The 25,197-nt window shown below is 42.7% G+C and overlaps 1 protein-coding gene across 1 annotated transcript in view, besides 4 other annotated features; it reads right to left on the bottom strand.

Annotated features, from left to right (window-relative positions):
- Positions 1,238 to 1,532: a silencer, noted in NCBI's record as "tiled region #15663; HepG2 Repressive non-DNase unmatched - State 24:Quies, and K562 Repressive non-DNase unmatched - State 24:Quies". NCBI's record gives its function as "represses a minimal TATA promoter and a strong SV40 promoter by Sharpr-MPRA in HepG2 and K562 cells {active_cell/tissue: HepG2 | K562}" and the evidence as "EXISTENCE:reporter gene assay evidence [ECO:0000049][PMID:27701403]".
- NBDY (negative regulator of P-body association) overlaps positions 2,509 to 25,197 on the bottom strand; it is an 89,937-nt gene continuing 67,248 nt past the window's right edge. The window contains exon 3 of the mRNA NM_001348129.2: positions 2,509 to 4,368. The gene's annotated coding sequence lies outside the window, so the exon portion shown is untranslated. The remainder of the gene's footprint in view (positions 4,369 to 25,197) is intronic.
- Positions 8,569 to 9,108: an enhancer, noted in NCBI's record as "active region_29700". NCBI's record gives its function as "activates an Ori minimal core promoter by ATAC-STARR-seq in GM12878 lymphoblastoid cells {active_cell/tissue: GM12878}" and the evidence as "EXISTENCE:reporter gene assay evidence [ECO:0000049][PMID:35858748]".
- Positions 18,106 to 18,245: an enhancer, noted in NCBI's record as "active region_29699". NCBI's record gives its function as "activates an Ori minimal core promoter by ATAC-STARR-seq in GM12878 lymphoblastoid cells {active_cell/tissue: GM12878}" and the evidence as "EXISTENCE:reporter gene assay evidence [ECO:0000049][PMID:35858748]".
- Positions 20,745 to 20,814: an enhancer, noted in NCBI's record as "active region_29698". NCBI's record gives its function as "activates an Ori minimal core promoter by ATAC-STARR-seq in GM12878 lymphoblastoid cells {active_cell/tissue: GM12878}" and the evidence as "EXISTENCE:reporter gene assay evidence [ECO:0000049][PMID:35858748]".

Below are 25,197 nucleotides of genomic sequence, written 5' to 3'. Positions count from 1 at the left end.
TGTCCTTTTTCCACTCTATTATTTTTTCCCCTTTGGAAATGGAGTCTTGCTCTGTCGCTCAGGCTGGAGTGCGTGGCGCAATCTTGTCTCACTGCAAACTCCGCCTCCCAGATTCAAGCGAATCTCCTGCCTCAGCCTCCCAAGTAGCTGGGATTACAAGTGCCTGCTGCCACATCCGGCTAATTTTTGTATTTTTAGTAGAAACAGGGTTTCATCATGTTGGCCAGGCTGGTCTCAAACTCCTGACCTCAAATGATCTGCCCTTTCTCCACTCTTAAATGCATCTTTCTTTATTTGCTACACCCAGGTGCTGTAATCTCTCACTTGGTTTCTTTAGGCCTTGTAAAGGTAATTTTGCGCATGAATAGTTGTTCAAATGGATACTTCTGCAAGGTTATGAGTGCTGAAGAATTCCATTTTGCCATCTTGCTGCATAGGAATTTAATAAGTTGGGAGAGGCTGGCCAGGCATGGTGGTTCACGCCTGTAATCCCGGCACTTTCGGAGGCCAAGGGGCGGGCGGATCACCTGAGGTCAGGAGTTCGAGACCAGCCTCAACATGGAGAAACCCTGTCTCTACCAAAAATACAAAATTAGCTGGGTGTGGTGGTGCATGCCTGTAATCCCAGCTACTCGGGAGGCTGAGGCAGGAGAATTCCTTGAACCTGGGAGGTGGAGGTTACAGTGAGCCAAGATTGCACTATTGCACTCCAGCCTGGGCAACAAGAGTGAAACTCCGTCTCAAAAAAATAAAATAAAAGTTGGGAGAGGCTGCCTTGGGAGGTGCTAGCCAGACATCTATTGTTTTAAACAACTTGAGATATGCACATATAATACAATCCGTGATTTAAAGTGTACAATTCAATGGTTTTGGATATTTATAGATAAGCATAGATATGTGTAAATATCACTACAGTCAATTCTTATGCATTTTCATTAACCCTGAATAAAATCACACAGTCCTTAGACATCAATTCTCAATCATAACTTAAGGGAAACTCCATCCTTAAGCAAATATTTTTTCTGAACCTATAGACTTGCCTCATGTGGACATTTTATTTATATGAAATTATATAATATATGGTACTGTGTGACTGGCTTTTTTCACATAGCATAATGCTTTTGCTTTTCCCAGACCACCAGGCAAGAATTATTTTCCTTTTTTTTTTTTTTGGCATAATGCTTTCAAGGTTTATTCTGGCAGTATGTATACTTATTTCCTGTATATGACTAAATTAATATTCCATTGTGTGAATATACATTTTGTTTTCCATTCACCAGTTGATGGGCATTTGAGTTGTTTCCACATTTTCCTAGTACAAATATTTCTGCTGTAAACCGTCCTGTACAATTTTTGTTTGAACACCTGTTTTTTAGTTATTTTGGCTATGTATCAGGAGTAAAATTGCTGGGTAGCATGTTATTTCTTTTTTTTTTCTTTTTTTTGAGATGGAGTCTTGCTCTGTCATGCCCAGGCTGGAGTGCAGTGGTGGGATCTCGGCTCACTGCAACCTCTGCCTCCCAGGTTCAAGGGATTCTCCTGCGTCAGCCTCCTGAGTAGCTGGGCTAATTTTTTATATTTTTTAGTAGAGATGGGGTTTCACCATGTTGGTCAGGCTAGTCTCGAATTCCTGACCTCAGGTGATCCATCCACCTCAGCCTCCCAAAGTGCTGGGATTACAGGTGTGAGCCACCACGCCCAGCCATTATTTTTAACTTAGAGAGGAACCACAAAATTGTTTGCCCAGTGGCTGCACATTTATCATTACCAGCAACAATGCCGCATGTTCCTGTTTTCCCACATTCTAACATTTATTATTTTGCTATTTAAAATAATAATAATAATAAGTATCCTACTGGGTATAAATTGCTGTCTCTTTGTGATTTTGATTTGCATTTCCCTGATGACTAATAGTGTTGAGCATCTTCTCATGTGTAATTTGTGATTTGTATGTCTTCTTTACAGAAGAATCTATTCAGATCCTTTCGTTATAAAATTGGTTTATTGTTTGTTTTATTATTTAGCGGTAATTACTGTTTATTTTATTTTATTATTTTGTTTTATTTTTTGAGATGGCGTCTTGCCCTGTTGCTTAGGCTGGAGTGTGCATTGGTGCAATTTTGGCTCACTGCAACCTCTGCCTCCCAGGTTCAAGCTATCCTCCCACCTCAGCCTCCTGAGTAGCTAAGATTACAGGCATACACCACCACACCCTGCTAATTTTTTTTGTGTGTGTATTTTTAGTAAAGATGGGGTTTCATCATGTTGGCCAGGCTGGTGTCAAACTCCTGACCTCAAGTGATCCCCCTGCCTCAGCCTCCCAAAGTGCTGGGATTACAGGATGAGCCACCATGCCTGGTCTTATATATTTTAGATACAAGTCATTTATGAGACATATTATTTGCAAAAATAATCTTGCACTGTGGCTGTCTTTCAAATTTCTTGACTGTGTTCACTGAAGCAAATTTTTTTTCAATTTTAATTATGTCCAGTTTATCTTTTTTTTCCTTTATTAACTTGTGCTTTGGTGTAAGAATTAAAAATCTAATACTTAATTCAAGGTCACAAAAATTTATTCTATATTTCCTCCCAAGAGTTTTATAGTGTAACCCTTATATTTGAGTCTTTGGCCTATTTTGAGTTAATTTTTGTATTTTGCATGAGGTAGGGGTGGAAGTTTTTTGTTTTTTTGTTTTTTTTTTGCATGTAGATACCAAGTTGTCCCAGTACCATTTATTGAAAATAGTTATTTCCCCTTTTGTCTTGCCTCCTTCTCAGAAGTTAATTGGCTGCAAATTAACTTTTGTGAGGGCTTATGTCTGGACTTTGGATTCTATTTCATTGATCAATATTTATATCCTATGCCAGTACCACATAGACTTGTTTATTGTAGCTTTGTAATAAGTTTTAAAATTTGGAAATGTGACTCTTCAAACTTTGTATACTTCAAGATTGTTTTGGCTATTCTGGGTCCATTACATTTTCATATGAACTTTAGAATCAGGTTATAAATTTCTTCAAAGTAGGCAACCTTAATTTTGATAAGGGTTGCATTGAATAGTTTGATTATTTTGAAGAGTGTTGTCATCTTTATAATACTGTGCCTTCTGATGCATAAAATGCCTTTCACCAGATGTCCTTTTAAAGAAGTCTGTGTTTACTGTTTGTGATGTTCAGCCTGGCTCAGAAGTTTTAAAACTCTAATGTGTGATTAGTAATATTATACAATCTTTAAAATAACTGTCTATAATTTATTAAGTGTGCATAACATAACTCTAGAATATACATAAATGTCACCATACCTCCATTTGTGATTTTTCAGATTCTTTAATTCTGATGCTAGGGACTAATTTCAGAGGATTGGGTAAAATACTCAGGTTTCACAATCTCTCTAAATATTCATTTTACAATGTAAGCTTTAATTACTTATTTGAACAAATTGTATTATTATTTTATATTTTAATTTATAAGCCAAGTTTATCTGACATTTTCAGATATAATATATGCTTTCAAGTCTGTTTATCTTTTATTATTACAATTCAAAGGTAGAAGCTTTATTTTTTTATATCCCTGGAAATTATTATAGTCTATAAATTTTTTTCTATAACCTTGTAATTCCTGAAACATTTATGAACTATATGAAATATTGAAAGCTGCTATCTAATGTTTTCCCATTTTACTTGTATTTTTTCACCATAATATTTATTACTGTTTTTAATTAGGATATTCTATTTGTTCAATACTAAGCATTTTAGAAGGAAAGTAGAAAATTACAAAAAACAAGCACATCAACCATTTCAGTCAGAAAAAAATAGTTAAGATGTAAAATACTAGGATGAGGATTAGCATAAAAAGATGTAGATTCCATGCAAAAACTGACAGCAAATTAAAGAAAGTGTACTGGAAACAATTCTTTTTTGGATTTAACCTTCCTCTACTTTCCTTATATTTTTCACTAAAATAAATGAATAAATAGACATAAATAAATGAATAAATGTAGGAAGAAGGTCATATTTCAACACTAATTTTAGTAATGCTTTACATAGGAGTTCTTATAAAATATTTACTTAAAATTCACAATTTACTAGATGTAGTCATATAGATCTAACACAGCGCTTAGAGACAAACTTTATTGGGGCCTTAATGGATTTATAGGAATATAAAGTTATACAACAAGAACAGGATGTCACCAAAAGAGTTCACTGGTTGGCTGCTGCAGGACCATCTCACAGGCATTGTTTGCTTTGGTAAGTTCACCATGATCCAGGGCATGGCCTTAAATCTCAGAGGTCTTACAACCCGATCTTGCCCATGTCTTAGAATTCATCGAAATTCAGGAAGTGAAATCGCGCTGATTACATCATAAGACTGAAAGATACAGAAAGAACAAAAGTTTATTGACTTATAATGAGAAATTCCATTATCATACAGGTCAGATATGTCTGTTGAGCAGAAAACACCCCAATTTCCCTATTAAGCAAGTTAAAGAGAATGCAAAATTATTAGATGAGTGCTTAATAAATATTAAATCAAAGGCATACAATGTCAATAACCTGCATCTTTTTGGTATCTAATGTATTTGAATGCAAAATAATTTATCTGTTAGGTGGACCAGATGTTTCTATTATCTTAGGCATATTTCTCCCCCAAAAAGTACAGGGATGTCTACCGCTATTACTCTTGTTTTATTAGGCTTCCAAAACTAATCAATCAGCCTCATTGTTCCCTCATAGCCCCTTGACAAACTCCTATATTCCTTGGAAATTTTATATTTATTTATTTATTTACACAAATAATACATGAATAAATACATGAATACAATCTAACTGTATATAATTCAAACAACATAGACATAATTCTTCTTACTGCTAAACTTTTACCATTCCTCAGTCTTTCTCCTATTTACAGAAGAAAACATAGTTATCAATTCTGTCTAGACCTTTTTATTTCTATTTAAATGTACACATATATAGTATTTATAATAATATAATAATTTAGATTTGGAGTTTATAATATAAATTAGATCATCCTAGCATACACTTCGGCAATTTGTTTTTATTCACTTATAAATGTCTTAATAATTTTTAATATAAAAATAGATCAGTCTCAATATTTCAATGGCTTCAAAATATTGCATCGTGTTACAGTATAATTTTAACTGTTGAAAGATGTTCAAATTCTGTTGAAAGATATTTAATATGCTTGCAACATTTTTACTACAAGCAAGCCAATTTATTGATATGTAGAATTATTTCCATATATTCTACAAATAAAACACAAGTCAAAACTTACAAACATTAAAATTACGATAGAGATAAAATACTTTAGAAACGTACAATTTTATAGACAGTAGATATTTAACCAAATCCTTTCTAAAACTGAGAATTCTGGAGACTTTTTTGATTGTGGCAAATATGATGACCTAATATTAAAGTCAACTATATTTATTATTATTATTGGCCATATATTTTTGTCTCCTATGAATTGCCTGTTCTTTGACTATATTTCTATCAGGCTTTGTTTCTGTATTAACATAAAGAAATGTATTATATATTCTATGAATTAATGGCATCCATTATCTATCTTTTAAATGGAACCACATTGTATATAAATAGTCTTTAAGTTTACTTATGCTGTTTTTCTTCGTATAAAATTTGCATGTTTTATAAAAGAAAATTATATTTAGAAATATAATACGAAGGCATTAAAATGAGGAAAACAACATGAAATGTATAAAAGAGAAGATTAACAATTTCTTCCAGAAAAACAATTCTAAATCTGTGGAGGTTAAAAGATGTTAAAAGTATGGAATAAATGCCTAATAATTTTTTCCATAACCAATCAAAGACACATATACTTACCAACATGTAACTCTTTCTGTTTGTTGTTACAAAAAATGAGTTTGTATTATACACATTACTCCGAACATGTTTTATTTATTTAATAATATCTCATAGTAACCACATAAACTTAAATATTTTAAAAATATCTGCACAAAATTCCAGCAAATGTGTCCACCAAAACATAGTAATTCTCAAAATGAACATAACTGAGACAGTTTCCAATTGTTTTCACAAATATGCAAACATATTCTCAGATGGTATAATAAAAAAGTTAAACAATTTGTGGATTACCATTTCAAATGTTTCAGTAAACAATTCTCCAAACACCAATGTATGAGAGACAAGCTAATCACCTCAACAAGAAATACCTGTTATCATACTTTAAATTTCTATAAATGATAAAGAAAACATAGTATATGTTTGATTTATTGTACCTTAATAGAATTTTAAAAGTGGACAATTTTTTAAGAATTTAGTAATCCAAAATTTCTTAGTCATGATGATCTCCTCATTTTGATGTAGAAAAATAAATTTTAATTTAAATGAATCTCTATAAAGGGTCATTGCGTATGAATCATTTTAATCATCTTTGCAACATAGGTTTAAATCTCTTTACCAGATACTATACTGTATTTTGGTTTAAAATTAAGTGTTTTTAGCATTTTTATTAAAATATTTTCATTATCAAAGAGTAAATAATTTATTGATGGCTTTCAAATTTTCCTGATTTCTCAGAAAGATCTATTTAAGCCAAGTCATATAGTCTATAAAATCATGAATTTATATTAAAATGAGTTGATTTATCACTACTTTAAGAATAAATTTCTCAGTGTAGTAAAAATTGTGTATAAGATATGACAGAAATGTAAAAAGCATTATAGAATGAAGTAAAGGTTAAATATATATTCCAAAAATATATTCTCTATTAGCTATTAATGACACATAAAATATGACATTTCTTACTATCACATTTGATCAAATTAAAAAAAAAAAGAAATACCCCAAAATATGATCAAGAGTCTAAGGTGAACAGCGGAAGAGAAGATGTGGTTCACCAGGTATGGTGGCTCAGGTCTGTAATCCCAGCACTTTGGGAGGCCGAGGTGAGCAGATCACGAGGTCAAGAGATGGAGGCCATCCGGGCCAACATGGTGAAACACCATCTCTACTAAAAGTACCAAAAAATCAGCTGGGCATGGTGGCATGCACCTGTAGTCCTAGCTGCTCAGGAGCCTGAGGCAGAAGAATCGGTTGAACCTGGGAGGTGGAGGTTGCAATGAGTCAAGGTCACACCACTGCACACCAGCCTAGACAACAGAGCGAGACTCCCTCTCAGAAAAAAAAAAAAAAATGTGGTTCATAACTTGGGTCACTTAAACAATAAGCAAAAGAAAATTAAAACATATGATGCAAAAGAGAAATGATCTTCTTAAAATAATGACTTAATAATCCCTAATTGATATATAATCAACTTTAATAAAACTGTTTCTTAAATGCCCTGATAAGCCACGAAAAAAAAAAGTTACAGAGTAAAATAAATGGAGAAAAAATATTTCATATAACATTCAATAAAGCCATTCAATAACCACTCAAAAACAACTCAATAAAAAAAGACTCAAAAACCATGAAATTAAAAGAAGATAAGATATCACTATGAATCCACCACTGGGAAGAAGAAAAATTCACCACCTAAAATGACTACCTTCGGTCCAGAAAAATTGATAGAAAGAAAATGCAAAAATCAATTACAATCTGAAAGTACTAAATAAAAAAGTAAAAGAACAAATTGAAAAACACAAAAGAAAAAAACTGAAACTGATACCAATTATGTTAAAAATAATGTAAAGCAGTGAAAATAAAAAATGAAAAACAAAAAAAAAGACAAAAGAATCAGACTGAGAAGAAGCAATGACAATGAACGGGAGTGGCAAAGAGACACCAGTGACATCCCCGTGAAAAAACACACAACCAAGAAGCTTTGTGATGATGGGATCCTTTCCGAGTGTAAGTTTTTAAGCAGTTTGACCAAGAAAGCTCCAGTTTCACACCAACTGCTGGGGCCTATCTGATAACAGACTTCCTGCATTCATTCTCAAAGGAACGCCCAAGTTACCCAATCAATGGCATGATGACCCAGGCCTGGAGACAAAAAAGCATGCCCATCGCAAGTGGTGATTCAGAGCCTGTATGGGAGAGTTTGTGGGCAGTGTTATGCCTGTGGGGGTGCATGTGCGTACATGTCTGTGTGGGGGAACACTTGGGCCCACACCCTTGTGCCCGTGTCAAGTTTCTTGTGTGTTTCTCTGCTTGTGTGTTTGTGATTATGTTTTGGGGTGTGGAGTCCCTTCTGAGTGCGTGTGTGGGTGTGTCTGTGGTCTGTGGGCATCTGCCTGTGTGAGTGAGAGTGGGAAAATGGGCACGTGGCAGAGACAGCCTGCCTGTACACACTGAAATGTGGATCGCTGTTGTGTTCACATGGCTGGGCTGGAAAGAAAGGCAACAGGACACAACTTGCCAAGGCTCCCACTGGCTCAGGATTGGACATTTACAGAGTCCACAAAAAGAATGGGGACAAACAGCGAGCCAAGAGGTACTGGGAAATCCATGAATTCACGATGACATTTCACTTAAAAGTAACTCCTGGGTGGTGTTTTATATATATACTTTAAGTTCTAGGGTACATGTGCACAATGTGCAGGTTTGTTACATATGTATACATGTGCCATGTTGGTGTTCTGCACCCATTAACTCATCATTCACATTAGGTATATCTCTAATGCTATCCCTCCCCCTCCCCTCACAGCAAGACAGGCCCCGGTGTGTGATGTTCCCCACCCTGTGTCCAAGTGTTCTCATTGTTCACCAGAGAAACTGAACTGGTGACTTTCATCTCTGCTTCTTTAAAAATGAAAGTGAAGCCTCCTTCCAGGCCTGGTGCTGCAAGGGGACACACCCATCACCAATGAGCAGAAGAAGCAGTCTCGATAGAACATTTGTCCCGCAGAGAGCTGAAAGTGAAAGGAAAAAGGAAGAAGAAGAAGAAAGAAAGAGGAGAAAAAGAACAACAACAAGTGGCAGCTTCGTGTCACCAAAGCTGTCCTGAAAGATCTAGTTCAGGGGTGTATCACTGCGTGGTGACATACACAACAAGTGACAAAGAGATATGAGTGACGTCCGGGTGAAAGGACACACCACTGAAAAGCTTCTCATTGATGGGGTCCTTTCTGAGTGGGATCAAGGGCTCTGATCCACAAGTAGCCTTGCAGGAGCAAAAGAGAACAAAGGTACAGGCAAAATCTTGCCCTCTGAATATCATCAGCACACTTCAAGGGGCCATCAAGTCCCTAGTACATAAGGCCAAGGGAGGGAAGGACTCTGGAAATGGGAGGAGAGATGAAAAATGGGGAGAAACCGGACACCAAGAAAAAGAGGTAATCAGCCACCTATGGCAATAGGGAGGGCAGAAAGAGGAGGGGGATTCTGATTATGCACTTCAGGGGTCAGCCAGGATCCATCTAATTTTCTTAGGAAAAGTAAGCATGTTCTCCCTAATGATGTGCCTGTGCCCACCCGACCCTCCCCAAACCACAAGTGGACTAAAAGTAAAGACAGTGAAGATAAAAAAAAGTGGGAAGCTGGCAAGATGGTGGAATAGGAGCAGTTCCAGTCTGCAGCTCCCAGCGAGATCGATGCAGAAGATGGGTGATTTCTGCATTTCAAACTGAGGTACCAGGTTCATCTCACTGGGACTGGTTGGATAGTGGGTGCAGCCCAAGGAGGGTCAGCCAAAGCAGGGTAGGGGTGTCACCTCACCAAGAAAGTGCAAGGTGTCAGGGAACTCCCTCTCCTAGCCAAGGGAAGCCATTAGGGACTATACCATGCACTCCAGCACAGACACTGCACTTTTCCCATGGTCTTCACAACCCGCAGACCAGGAGATTCACTCCAGTGCCCATGCCACCAGGGCCCTGGGTTTCTAGCACAAAACTGGGTGGCCGTTTGGGCAGACACCAAGCTAGCCACAAAAGTTGTTTTTTTTTCATGCCTCAGTGGCACTCAGAAGTCCAGCCAGACAAAACCATTCACTCCCTTGGAAAGGAGGCTGAAGCCAGGGGGCCAACCGGTCTGGCTCGGCGGGTCCCAACCCCATGGAGCCCAGCAAGCTAAGATCTACTGGCTTGAAATTCTTGCTGCTAGCACACCACTCTGAGCTTGACCTGGGACCCTGGAGCTTGGTGGGGGGAGTGGCATATGCCATTGCTGAGGCTTAAGTAGGCAGTTTTACCCTTACAGTGTAAACAAAGCTGCTGGAAAGTTCGAACTGGGTGGAGCCCACCGCAGCTCAGCAAGGCCACTGTGGCCAACCTGCCTCTCCAGATCCCCTCCTCTCTGCACAGGGCATCTCTGAAAAAAAGGCAGCAGTTCCAGTCAGGGACTTATAGATAAAACCCCCACCTCCTTGTGACAGAGCACCTGGGGGAAGGAACAGTTGGGGGTGCAGCTTCAGCAGATTTAAACGTCCCTGCCTGGTACCTCTGAATAGAGCAGCAGATCTCCCACCACAGCGTTTGAGCTCTGATAAGGGACAGACTGCCTCCTCAAGTGAATCCCTGACACTCATGTATCCTGACTGGGAGACACCTCCCAGTAGGAACTGACAGATACCTCATACAGAAGAGCTCTGGCTGGCATCTGGCAGGTGTCTCTCTGGGACAAAGGTTCCAGAGGAAAGAACAGGCAGCAATCTTTGCTGGTCTGCAGCCTCCGCTAGTGATACCCAGGCAAACAGGGTCTGGAGTGGACCTCCAGCAAAACTCCAGCAGACCTGCAGCAGAGGAGCCAGACTGTTAGAAGAAAAACTAACAAACAGAAAGGAATAGTATCAACATCAACAGAAAGAACATCCAATCAGAGACCTCAGCTGATGGTCACCAACTTCAAAGACCAAAGGTAGATAAATCCATGAAGATGGGGAGAAACCAGCACAAAAAGGTTGAAAATTCCAAAAACCGAACACTTTTTCTCCTCCAAAGGATCATAACTCCTCACCAGCAAAGGAACAAAACTGGACAGAGAATGAGTTGGAAAAATTAACAGAAGTAGCCTTGAAAAGGTGAGTAATAACAAACTCCTCCAAGCTAAAGGAACATGTTCTAACCCAATGCAAGGAAGCTAAGAACCTTGAAAAAAGGTTAGATGAATTGCTAACTAGAATAACCAGTTTAGAGAGGAAGATAAATGACCTGATGGAGCTGAAAAACACAGCACAAGAACTTCGTGAAGCATACACAGGTATCAATAGCTGAATGGATCAAGCAGAAGAAAGGATATCAGAGATTGAAGATCAACTCAATAAAATAAAGCAAGAAGACAAGATTAGAGAAAAAAGAGTAACAAGAAATGAGCAAAACCTCCAAGAAATATGGGACTATGTGGAAAGACCAAAACTACATTTGATTGGTGTACGTGAAAGTGACAGGGAGAATGGAACCAAGTTGGAAAAGACTCTTCATGATATTATCCAGGAGAACTTCCCCAATCTAGCAAGGCAGGCCAACATTGAAATTCAGGAAATACAGAAAACACCACAAACATACTCCTCGAGAAGAGCAACCCCAAGACACATAATTGTCAGATTCACCAAGGTTGAAATGAAGGAAAAAATATTAAGGGCAGACAGAGAGAAAGGTTGGGTTACAAGGGAAGCCAATCAGACTAACAGCAGGTCTCTCGGGAGAAACCCTACAAGCCAGAAAAGAGTGGGGGCCAATATTCAACATTCTTAAAGAAAAGAATCTTCAACCCAGAATTTCATATTCAGCCAAACTAAGTTTCATAGGCAAAGGAGAAATAAAATCCTTTACAGACAAGCAAATGCTGAGAGGTTTTGTCACCACCAGGCCTGCCTTACAAGAGCTCCTGAAGGAAGCACTAAACATGGAAGGATCAACCAGTACCAGCCACTGCAAAAACATACTAAATTGTAAAGACTGTCAACATGATGAAGAAACTGCATCAACTAACAGGCAAAAAAACCAGCTAGCATCATAACGACAGGATTAAATGCACACATAACAATATTAACCTTAAATGTAAATGGGCTAAATGCCCCAATTAAAAGCACAGACTGGCAAATTGGATAAAGAGTTAGGACCCATTGGTGTGCTGTATTCAGGAGACCCATCCCACATGCAAAGACACACACAGGCTCAACAAAAGAGATGGAGGAATACTTACCAAGCAAATGGAAAGCCAAAAAAAGCAGGGGTTGCAATCCTAGTCTCTGATAAAACAGAGTTTACATGAACAAAGATCAAAAGAGACAAAGAAGGACATTACATAATGGTAAATAAATCAATGCAACAAGAAGAGCTAACTATCCTCAATATATATGCACTCAATACAGGAGCACACAGATTCATAAAGCAAGTTCTTAGAGACCTACAAAGAGACTTACATTCCCACACAAAAACAGTGGGAGACTTTAACACCCCACTGTCAATATTAGATAGATCAACGAGAAAGAAAATTAACAAGGATATCCAGGACTTGAACTCAGCTCTGGACCAAGTGAACCTAATAGACATCTACAGAACTCTCCACCCCAAATCAACAAAATATACATTCTTCTCAGCAGCACATTGCACTTATTCTAAAACTGACCAAATAATTGGAAGTAAAACACTCCTCAGCAAATGCAAAAGAACGGAAATTATAACAGTCTCTAAGACCACAGTGCAATCAAATTACAACTCAGGATTAAGAATCTCACTCAAAACCGCACAGCTACATGAAAACTGAACAGCCTGCATCTGAATGACTACTGCGTAAATAACGAAATAAAGGCAGAAATAAATATGTTCCTTGAATGAATGAGAACAAAGACACAACGTACCAGAATCTCAGGGATGCGTTTAAAGCAGTGTGGAGAGGGAAACTTATAGCACTAAATGCCCACAAGAGAAAGCAGGAGAGATCTAAAATCAACAACCTAATATCACATTTAAAAGAAATAGAGAAGCAGAAGCAAACAAATTCAAAATCTAGCAGAAGGCAAGAAATAACTAGGATCAAATCAGAACTGAAGAATACAGAGACAAGAAAAACCCATCAAAAAAATCAATGAATCCAGGAGCTCGTTTTTTGAAAAGATCAACAAAATAGATAGACCTCTAGCCAGCCTAATAAAGAAGAAAAGAGAGAAGAATCAAATAGATGTGATAAAAAATGATAAAGGGGATATCACCACTGATCCCACAGAAATACAAACTACCATCAGAGAATACTATAAATACTTCTATGCAAATAAACTAGAAAATCTTGAAGAAATGGATAAGTTCCTGGACATGTACCTTCTCCCAAGACAAAACCAGGAAGAAGTTGAATCCCTGAATAGACCAATAACAGGCTCTGAAATTGAGGGAGCAATTAATAGCCTACTGACCAAAAAAGAGTCCAGGACCAGACGGATTCACAGACGAATTCTACCAGAGGTACAAAGAGGAGCTGGTACCATTCCTTCTGAAACTATTCCAAACAATAGAAAAAGAGGGAATCCTCCCTAACTCCCCAACTTTTATGAGGCCAGCATCATCCTGATACCAAAGCCTGACAGAGACACAACAAAGAAAGAGGATTTTAGGCAGCATTTGAAAAAGCTTATCCACCACGATCAAGTCGGCTTCATCCCTGGGATGCAAGGCTGGTTCAACATATTCAAATCAATAAACTTAATCCATCACATAAACAGAACTAATGACAAAAAACCACACACTTATCTCAATAGATGCAGAAAAGGCCTCCGACAAATACAACAGCCTTCATGCTAAAAACTTTCAATAAACTAGGTATTGATGGAATGTATCTCAAAACAATAAGAGCTATTCATGACAAACCCACAGCCAATATCATACTGAATGGGAAAAAACTGGAAGTACTCCCTTTGAAAACTGGCACAAGACAAGAATGCCCTCTCTCACCACTCCTATTCAACACAGTATTGGAAGTTCTGGCCAGGGCAATCAGGCAAGAGAAAGAAATAAAGGGTATTCAATTAGAAAAAGAGGAAGTCAAATTGTCTCTGTTTGCAGATAACATGATTGTATATTTAGAAAACCCCATCGTCTCAGCCCAAAATCTCCTTAGGCTGATAAGCTACTTCAGCAAAGTCTCAGGATACAAAATCAATGTCCAAACATCACAAGCATTCCTATACCCCAAGAACAGACAAACACAGAGCCAAATCATGAGTGAACTCCCATTCACAATTACTACAAAGAGAATAAAATCCCTAGGAATCCAACTTATAAGGGATGTGAAGGACCTCTTTAAGGATAACTACAAACTACTGCTCAATGAAATAAAAGAGGACACAAACAAATGGAAGGACATTCCATGCTCATGGATGGGAAGAATCAATATCATGAAAATGGCCATACTGCCCAGGGTAATTTATAGATTCAATGCTATCCCCATCAAGCTACCCCTGACTCTCTTCACAGAATTAGAAAAAAACTACTTTAAAGTTCAAATGGAACCAAAAAAGAGCCCAAATAGCCAAGACAATCCTAAGCAAAGAGAACAAAGCTGGAAGCATCACGCTGCCTAACTTCAAACTACACTACAAGGCTACAGTAACCAAAACAGCATGATACTGGTACCAAAACAGATATATAAACCAATGGAACAGAATGGAGGCCTCAGAAATAACACCACACATCTACAGCCACCTAATATTTGATGAACCTGGCAATAACAAGCCATGGGGAAGGATTTTCTATTTAATAAATGGTGCTGGGAAAACTGGCTAGCCATATGCAGAAAGGTGAAACTGGAACCCTTCCTTACACTTTATACAAAAATTAACTCAAGATGGATTAAAGACTTAAACCTAAAACCTAAAACCATAAAAAACCTAGAAGAAAACCTAGGCAATACCATTCAGAATACAGGCGTGGGCAAAGACTTCATGACTAAAACACCAAAAGCAATGGCAACAAAAGCCAAAATAGACAAATGGGATATAATTAAACTAAAGAGCTTCTGTACAGCAAAAGAAACTATCATCAGAGTGAAAAGGCAACCTACAGAATGGGAGAAACTCTTTGCAATCTACCCATCTGACAAAGGGCTAATATCCAGAATCTACAAAGAACTTAAACCAATTTACAAGAAAAAAACAACCCCATCAAAAAGTGGGCGAAAGATATGAGCAGAGACTTCTCAAGAGAAGACATTTATGCAGCCAATGAACATATAAAAAAGCTCATCATCACTGGGCTTTAGAGAAATGCAAATCAAAACCAGAATGAGATACCATTTCATGCCCGTTACAATGGTGATCATTAAAAAGTCAGAAAATAACAGATGCTGAAGAGGATGTGGAGAAATAAGAATGCTTTTACACTGTTGGTGGGAGTGTCAATTAGTTCAACCACTCTGGAAGACAGTGTGGCAATTCTTCAAGCATCTAGAACTAAAAATACCATTTGACTCATCAATCTTATTACTGGGTACATACCCAAAGGATTATAAATCATTCTACTCTAAAGAGACATGCACACATATGTTTACTGCGGGACTGTTCACAAAAGCAAAGACTTGGAACCAACCCAAATGCCCATCAATGATAAGATGGATAAAGAAAATGTGGCCCATATACATCATGGAATACTATGCAGCCATAAAATGGATGAGTTCATGTCCTTTGCAGAGACATGGATGAAGCTGGATACCATCATTCTCAGCAAACTAACAGAAGAACAGAAAACCAAACACCACATGTTCTCACTCATAAGTGGGAGTTGAACAATGAGAACACATGGACACAGGGAGGGGAACATCACACACCGGGGCCTGTCATGGGGTGGGGAGCTAGGGGAGGGATAGCATTAAGAGAAATACCTAATGTAGGTGACGAGTTGATGGGTTCAGCAAACCACCATGGCACGTCTATATCTATGTAACAAACCTGCGTGTTCTGCACATGTACCCCAGAACTTTAAGTATAATAAAAAAAAAGTGAAGGGAGAAAAACTCCAAAAGTACACAAAGAATTAGAGTGAGCAATGAGGATGAGAGTGAATTGGAATGCAGAGTGTACCAAGTAGACAGGTAGTAGCCCAAGTGGCCTCCTGTGGCCTCACAGAGGAGGAAGAGCCATCAGCCAAGAGAGTCAGCCCCTTAGTCCCAGGTCTGCACCACATTGGCACAGAGGCCTGGCAAGCCTGGAGGCTGCCCTGGTCCCCACTGCCCCCACCACCACCCCATCCTGCATCCTCTGCCAGCAAATATTGGAAAGCCACACAGATAGGGACAAGAAAGATGAACAAAAGAGAACCTGGAAGCTGAGGAACCCTGCCCAGTTAGAGTTGTCTAGACAATGGGATCCAGGTTTTACGGGAGGTGCCTGGGCCTACACTTTTGAGTGACTATGGGTGAGGATACATGTATGTGCCTGAGGATGTATGGAAGCACAGATAAAGACAGGAAAAAGGTGAGATGTGATGGGAGTTAAATGTTAAAAATGAGGACCTCTGACATTCAGACTCCCAATGCCACCCCGAAGAACTCTGTCCAGATCTTCCTGCATTCCTTTCTTCTTGCATTTTCCTTATGCAGGCACTGGAGGTGCCCCCATGGTGATTACTACACATGAGAAAAGGATCCACATTTGTTGACAAGTGACAGAAAGGGAGTGATTCCTGTTCCATGGTACTGTTGCCCTTCTTCCTGGAATGCCCTGAGAGTGCAAGCCCATGCATGAAACTGACGTTCGTGAGAGTAGGTCATACCCCTCTGAGTGTGGGAATCATAACCTGTAGGGTGAATTTTCTCTCCTCTAAAGCTCTGCACGTTCCCAGTGCAGCCTACACATCCAGGAAGACTTGTAACAAGCGAAGAAAGAAAACATTTGCAATATTCTGAGATGGTTGTGTTCCATGCTGCTCTCCAGTCACTGAGAGGCATGGGTAAGACATGCAACCTTTAGAGCAATGAGGCCACAGCTTTGCATCTCAACAAGTGTTCTGTATGAAGGACCCATGCATGGCTTTCCCATTTCTGCCTGGAGACCCAAAAGGGGTGGCACAATTTGTCCTCCACTGTCTCATCCATTTTCCAGGCTGAATAATCTGACAAGCAATAGAATTCAGCTTGAGGAGCCCAGAGTGCTCGGTATCAAACCAAGGAACAGCCACCTCACCATCTGCAAAGACACGCCAGCCTCAACCTTCACTTCCATGCCCAGCACAGGAACACAGAGGAGGCCCAGGCGAAAGTGAGCATGGCTGGGGCCTGGCTACCCATGTATTTGGCAGAATGACTAAGATGCCCGGGGAATTAACTGGTGAGCCATCACATTCAGTGAGCACACATGCTCCATCAGCTATGCCAAGTGGCTTTCTCTAGGAGAGCCGCCTGTGGAAGCCACCCAGAATACCCCTCCTACTCTTGGGCATGGATGAGTGCCTGGGCTCCAGTGAGAAAAGTAGCTGAAGGCCTGGGACAGGTGTCCAATCTGTCGAGTCTCATCCTGACAGACACCTGGCCCGACCTTCTTCTGCTAGAAGGGTCAACAATCTATGGATGCCTGTTGGACCTGGGTGCTTTTGATCCAAGCTTTTGTCCCTTCCCCAAGAAACAGTGTGTTCCCTATTTACAAGCGTAGTGCTCACAAGCAGGCAGCCTGGTCTCCTTAGGAGGCTTGTGCAAATTCAGAGAAGTAATCAGCAGTGGCCTACAAGCAGGCCCATGCACTCACACACCCCTCCCCCATACCCCTTCACATTGCCCCCAGTGCGACCTATCCCCACCATGCCACAGCCCCAAGGGTGGGATTTCTTGAGGATAGGCTCCTCTGGCTCACTGGGACCCCTGCCCAGAGAGGAATCCAGAGGGAAGGAGGGAGGCAGAGAGCCTTTCGCATGTTGCAGGTTTCCCCAAAGAGACCATGTAGGTGGGGAGTCCTGCTGTAGATGAGGTGAGCGCTCCTTGGCCGGTTTCTTTCTTTCTTTCTTTTCTTTTTGTTTTGTTTTGTTTTGTTGGAAGCAAAAGGAGAAAGAGAAAAGCAAGGGAAATAAGTGACTGCCATTTCTGGAGCCACACTGCCATCCAGCGGCAGTTGTTTCTGAACACGACCGGCTGCAGGGATACTTGCCTTCTGACAGGCACAGACTTCAGCGAGAATATGTCGGGCTGGGTGGACTCTGACTAAGCCAGAGTTTCCCCCATCGCGGTTTTAAACCTTTGAAGGAAGTGTGCCTGCCATTTGGACCCCACGGAGAAGCAGCTAATCTAGAGGCCCAGGGACAGAGCAGCCAGGCAGCCCCAAGACCAGTCAGTCCAGAGTGCGGAGGTGCCCTGGCAGCCATCTTGAGGTGGGCTTAAGGGAAGCCACTGACTACTGACGGCCGAGACTGGGGTCGTTTACACTGGTCTCTTTTGTGGGGAGTTCTGGGGTGCCCTTGCCTGGAATCACGCTGGGGCCAGAGGTCCCCTATCCTCCCAGTGAACCAAGGAGCTGTGGGGTGCTGTGGGCGGGACGACTCCTGCCCGGCAATTCCTGGAGATGGCCAGGGGAACCCATGGAGGGCCGCCCCTTCCTGCCCTTTTTTCGGAGAGGGCTGTGGAGCCCGGGTGCCATCCTGGTAATGAGCAAGGGCAAAGGGCCAGCCAGGAGTTCCTCTCTCGTCCAGCTTCAGCCTGGGGGCCCCACACCGCCACCATCTCTTTCGTGCTCCTGGGATTTCTCCAGCACTCATGCCCAGCTGCCTCCAGTTTCCAGAAACAGATTCCGCTCGATGGCACTATGGCTCTACAAAGGCCAACTACAAGCTTAACCCTGCCCCTCCAATCCGACGGCCTCCACCCTTTCCAATGTGAAAAAAAGAAAAGGGAAAGAGAAACAAAAAAAAGACAGGGAGGATAAAAAGGAGCCAGCCACCTGGTCTCAGGTTGACCACCAAACTTAAGGGACCCTACGACCTAGGACCAGTAGGCAGGAGACACTGCGGAAATCCTCTTTATGCCGCCAGCCTTTGCTTTTCCTTTGGCCCTCTCCAGGTTTCATGGCTCATGCTCATGCAGAAAAATAGAAGACAAATGATACATAATCATGGCCACTGGGAAACCACAGGAAGACTGGGATCATGGGGCTGCCGCCCCAGGACAAGGTGCTGGTCACCCAGCTGAATTACCCAAGGTTTTGCTGCAGGACTGGTGGTTCTCCCAAAGCCTGGAGCTCCAGATAGAGTTTACCACCTTGGGCTGGCACATGGAGGTCACCAAAATGAGCGAACAGCTCAACAGGCAGTCACAGGGCGTGTGGCAGGAATCTCCCTCAGAGGGGATACTCAGCAACTGACTGAAGTCTGACTCTGTGCAGGCTGTCCTGGCTTTCACATGGGGTGGGGGGGAGGGGTGACATGAGGGTGGCTTAGGGGAACTGGGGAAGGCCACCACGCAACACAGATTCCCATGGCATCACAGAGGGCCAAGGGTCCCAAGGGGACTGTCTGCCTCTACCCAAGGTGTGGTCCCTTTTTAAGCAGGTTGACCCAGGAGGCTCCAGTTTCACACTGGCTGCTGGGGCTTATCTGATAACAGACTTCCCGCATTCATTCTCAGGAGAAGGCCTTAGGTGCCCAATCAACAGCATAATGACCCAGGCCTGGAGCCAGGAATCCTCACCCATAGCCCATTGCCTGTGGCCGACTGAGAGCCTTTATGGGAGAGTTCGTGGGCAGTCTGGTGGCTATGGCGACACATGTGTGTGTGCGTCTGTGTGGGTGAATGCTTGAGCCCGCACCCCTGGGCCTGTGTGAGGATTTGTGTGTGTGTGTGTGTGTGTGTGTGTGTGTGTGTGTGTCTATGAGTTTGTGAGTGTGCATGTGTTAGTGTATGTCTTTGTGTCTGTGTGTGTATCTCCCTGTGCATGTGTGTTTGTGATTATATTTGTGGTTGTCGGGGTTTCCCTGTGAGTCCATGTGGTTGTGTCTGTGTCTGTGGTCTCTGGGTGCCTGCCTGTGTGAGTGAGAGTGGGCAAATGGGCACGTGGGAGAGACAGCCTGCCTATACACACTGAAATCTGGATCGTTGTGTTCACATGGCTGGATTGAAAGAAAAGACAAAGGGGGACAACTTGCCAAGGCTCCTGCTGGCTCAGGATTACACATTTAGAGCATCCACAAAGAGAATGGGAAAGAATGGTGAGCCATGAGGAACAGGTTAAGGGGTGGGTTCATGGTGACATTTCATGAAAAGTAACACATTGGCGCCTTTGTGGAACACCAGAGGGACTGAACTGGTGACCTTCATATCTGCTCCTTTAAGAACAAATGAGGCCTTTCTCACTTTTGTTCTGCAAAGGGGCATCCTGCATCACCAGGAGCAGAGGAAGAAGCAGTCTCAGTATAATGCTTGACCCGCCAAGAGCCAAAAGTGAAAGGAAAAAGAGAAGAAAGAAGAGAAAAATGAGAAGGAGAAGGAGAAGGAGTAGAAGAAAAAGAAAAAGAAAAAAGAGGAGGAGGAGGAAGAGGAAGAAGAACCAGAAAGACAATAAGAACAAGAAGTGGCAGCTTCACGCCACAGCAGCTGTCCTGAAGGACCTAGTTCAGGGGTGCCTCACTGCATGGTGGCATACACAACAAGAGGCAAAGAGAAACCTGTGATGTCCCGGTGAAAGGACACAACACCAAGAAGCTTCTTGTTGATGGGTTCTTTTCCGAGTGGTATCAAGGGCTTTGATCTACAAGTAGGCCTAGAGAAGCTACAGAGGACAGAGGTGCAGGCTGAGCCATGCCCTCCAGATGTCATCAGCGCACTGCAAGGGGCCACGGGCTTCTAATCTACAAGGCCTGGGTAGGGAAGTACCCCGGAAATGGGTGGGAGGAGAGATGTAAAACGGGGAGGAAATGGATACCAGAGAAAGGAGGTAATGAGCCACCTATGGCAACACTGACAGAAGGCAGATAGGGGAGGGGGATGCTGCTTACACCCCCAGGGTTCAGCCCGGGTCCTTCTGATTTCCTTAGGAAAAGTAGGCTTACTCTCCCTAAGGACATTCCTGTGCCCACCCGACCCTGCTTTTGCAGGCTGATCCTGAACTCCCTAAACCAGAAATTGATGAAAAGTAAAGAGTGAAGAAGAAAAAAGTGAAGGAAGAAAAACTCCAAAAGTACACAAAGAATCAGGGTGAGCAATGAGGTTGAGAGTGAACTGAAATGCAGGATATCCCAGGTGGAAAGGTGGCTGCCCAAATGGCCTCTTGTGCCTTCGTACAAGAAGAGTCACCTACCAGAGAAAAGCATCAGACCCTTAGGCCAGGGTTTGTACTGGGTCCACACAGAGGCCAGTGGAGCCAAGAGACTGCGCTGCTCCACACTGCCCCCACCCCCACACCATCCCACACACTCCACCAGCAAATACTGGGAAGCCAGACAGAAAGGGAGAACAAAAATGAATAAGAGAAAACCGGGAAGCTGAAGAACCCTTCCCATTGAGAGTTACCTAGATGTGGGGATCTGAGTGTGAGCACAGGTGCCTGGGCAGACACCTTTTAGTGAGTATTGGTGGGGATGCATGTATGTGCCTGAGAACATATAGAAGCACAGATGAAGACAGGAAAAAAGTTAGATGAGATGGGAGTTAAATATTACAAATGAGGATTTCTGACACTCAAAGTCACCTTGCCACCCCTAAGGACACAGTCCAGATCTTCCTGCATTCTTTTCTTCCTATGTTTTCCCTAGGCAGGCACCAGTCTCCTTCTGAGGAGACCTGTGCAGATTCATAGAAGAATCTGCAGCGGCCCACACACAGGCCTAAACACCCACACACCCCTCCCCCTTTACCCCCTCACACTGCCCCCGGTGCTACAAATCCACAGCAAAAGCATAGCATTTCTTGAGGATAGGCTCCTCTGGATTACTGGGACCCCCTGCCCAGAGAAGAATCCAGAGGGTAGGAGAGGCAGACATCACTCCTACTGTTGCAAGTTTCCCCAAAGTAACCACATAGGTGGGGAGCCCTGTTGAAGATGAGGTGGGTGCTGCTTGGGCAGTTTCTTTGTTTCTTTGTTTTTTTTGTGTGTGTTTGTTTTGTTTGGTTGGCAGCAAAAGGAAGGAGAGAAAGGCAAAGTGGAGGAAGGAAAAGGGGTGATTGCCATTTGTGGAGTCACAGTGCCATCCGGCGGAAGGTGTTTCTTGACAACAGACTACAAGGACACTTGCCTTCTTCCAGTCACAGATATCAGCGAGGATGTGCCAGGCTGGGTAGACTAGGCCCAAGCCAGGGTTTCCCCCACTGGGGTTCAGAGCCCTTAAGGAAGTGTACCTGCCATTGGAACTCCATGAAGAAGCAGCTAAGCTAGAGGCCCGGGGACAGAACAGTCTGGCAGCCCCAAGACCAGTCAGCCCAGTGGGCGGAGCTTCCCCATCTTGAAATGGGTTTAAGAGAAACCACTGTTCACTGACTGCCGAGACTGGGGCCATTTGCTCTGGTCTCTTTTGTGGAGAGTTCAGGGGTGCCCTTGGCTGGGGCCACGCAGGGACAGGGGCACCCTATCCTCCCTGGGAACAAAGAAGTTTTGGGATGCTGGGGTGGGGCAACTCATGCCAAGCAGTCTCTGGGGGCTGCCAGGGGAACCCATGGTGGGCCGCCCCTGCCTGTCCATTCTTACAAAGAGAGCTGTGGAGCCAGGGCGCTATCCTGGGAATGAGCATAGACCATGGGCCAGACAGGAGTTCCTCTCCCAGCTTCAGCCTGGGGGCTCCACACCACCATCTGTCTGGCACTCCCGAGCGTTCCTCAGCACATGAGCTCAGGTGCCTCCCATTTCCAGAAACAATTTCCACTTGATGGCACTATGGCTCCACAAACGCCAAGTACAGTTGTAACCCTGCTCCTCCACCCTGAGGGCCTCCACCTTTTCCAATGTGAAAAAAGCAAATAGGAAGGAGAACGAGAAAAAGACAGGAGGGAGAGAAAGGAACGAGCCAACTGGTCCCAGGTTGACCACCAAAACTCACAGGTCCCAATGACCAAGGACCAGTAGGCTGGAGACCCTGCAGGAATACTGTTTAGGCAGCCAGTCTTTGCCCTTCTTTGGCCTTCTCCAGGTTTCATGTCTCCTGCTCCTGCAGAAAGTAAAAGACAAATGACAGATAATCATGGGCACTGGGACACAAGAGGCTTGGGATTAAAGGGCTGCCGTTCCAAGACAAGGTGCTGGTCACTCAGCTGGCTTACACAAGGTTTTACTGCAGGACTAGGAGTCCTCCCAAAGGCTCTAGGTAGTTTACCGCCTTGGGCTGGCAGATGGAGGTCACCAGAACGGGCAGACTGCTCAACAGGGAGCCACAGGACCTGAGGCAGGTGTATCCCTTAGAAAGCACACTCAGCAACTCGTGCAAGTCTGACTCTGCACAGGCTGTCCTGGCTTTCACACAGGCAGGGGTGGGAGGATGTGGCTTAGGGGGACTCAAAAAGGCCACCACGTTGCCACAGATTCCCATGACATCACAAAGGGCTAAGGATCCCAACAGGACTCTCTCTGCCTCTATCTGAAAGGGGAGTCTGTTTTTAAGCGGGTTGACCCAGGATGCTCCAGTTTCACATCTGCTGCTGTGGCCTTTCTGATAAAAGATTGCCCGCATTCATTTTTGGGAGAAAGCCAAGTTGCCCAATCAATGGCATGAGGACCCAGGCCTGAAGCCAGGAATGCTTGCCCATAGCCCATTGCTTGTCAGAGATTAAGAGCCCGTATGAGACAGTGTGGGCAGTCTCATGCCTGTGGCTTTGTGTGTTTGTTTACCTCTAAGTGTGAGAATGCTTGAGCCCCAACCCCTGTGCCCATGTGAGGTTACCTGTTTATTGGTCTGGTTGTGTATGTGTGACTTTATGTGTCAGTGTGCCTGCGTGTGTGTGTCTGCATGTGTGTTTGTGTCTGCATCTGCATGTATCTCCATGTGTGTATGGGTTTTGTAATTTCATTTCTGGTTGTGGGGTTTCTTGTGAGTGTGTGCATGTGTTCTGTGTCTGTGGTCTGTGAGTTCCTGCTTGTGTGAGTGAGAGTGGGCAAATTGGCACATGGCAGAGACAGCCTGACTGTACACACTGAAATCCGTATCGTTTTGTTCACCTGGCCTGACTGGAAGGAAAGGCAATAGGGGAACAATGTAACAAATTGCTGAGGCTCCTACTGACTCAGGTTTACACATTTAGAGAGTCCACAAGGAGAACAGGAAAGAATGGTGGGCTATAAGGTACTAGGTACAGGGTGTGTTTACCATGACATTTCACTTAAAAGTAACACGAGGACAGCTTTTTGGTGGAAAAGAAGGACTGAACTGGTGACCTTCATCGCTGTTCTTTTAAGAAGAAAAGTGAAGCATTTCTTGAGGCCTAGAGCTGCAGAAGGACATTCCCCATCACCAAGGAGAAGAAGAAGCAATCTGCTAGAACATTTGCATGCAGAAATCCAAAAGTGAAAAAAAAAGGAAAGAAAGAAGAACAAGTAGAAGAAGAAGGAGAAGAAAAGTAGAAAAAAAGATGTAGAAGGAGAAATAGAAAAGAAGGAGAGAAAGAAAAAGAAGGCAAAAAGAGAAGTCAAAGAAGAAAAGAAGAAGGAGAAGGAGGAGGAAAAGGAAAGAAGGAGAGAAGAAGAGGAAGAGGAAGAAGAAGAAGGAGAAGGAGGGAAGGGGAAGAAGAGGAAGAAGAAGAAGAAAGAAGAAGAGGGAAAGAAAAAGAAGAAGAAGGAGAGGGAGTTGGAGGAGGAGGAGGAGGAAAGGAGGAAAAGAACAATAAAGAAGAGGAGCAGGAGTAGGAAAAGGAAGAAGAAACAGAAGGAGAAAAAGAATAGGAAGTGGGAGGTCCATGACACTGTAGCTCTCCTGAAGGATCTAGTTCAGGGGGACCTGAATGTGTGATGACATACACAACGAGTGGCAGGGAGCCACCGGTCATGTCCCACTTAAAGGACACACAACCGAGAAGCTTCTTGTCAATGAGATCTTTCCTGAGTGGGATCAAAAGCTTTGATCCACAAATAGTCCTGCAGGAGCTACAGAAGACACAGGTGTAGGCTGAACAGTGCCCTGAGGATGTCATCAGCAGACTGCAAGGAACCACTGAGCCCCAAGCCTACAAGGCCAAGGCAGGGAAGGACCCCCAAAAAGAGAGGAAGATGAAAAACGGGGAGGAAATATATATCAGGGAAAAGAGATAATCAGCCACAAATGGCAATATGGAGAGAGGGCAGAAAGGAAAGGGAAATGCCAATCACTCCTTGCAGGGATCAGCTGGGGTCCTTCTAATTTCCTTAGGAAAAATAAGTTTGTTTTCCCTAAGGGTGTTC

This window comes from Homo sapiens, chromosome X (genome assembly GCF_000001405.40).
Source record: "Homo sapiens chromosome X, GRCh38.p14 Primary Assembly".
Classification (NCBI taxonomy): Eukaryota; Metazoa; Chordata; class Mammalia; order Primates; family Hominidae; genus Homo; species Homo sapiens.
The sequence above is the reverse complement of the archived record's forward strand: the minus strand, read 5'-3'. Positions and strand labels throughout refer to the sequence as shown.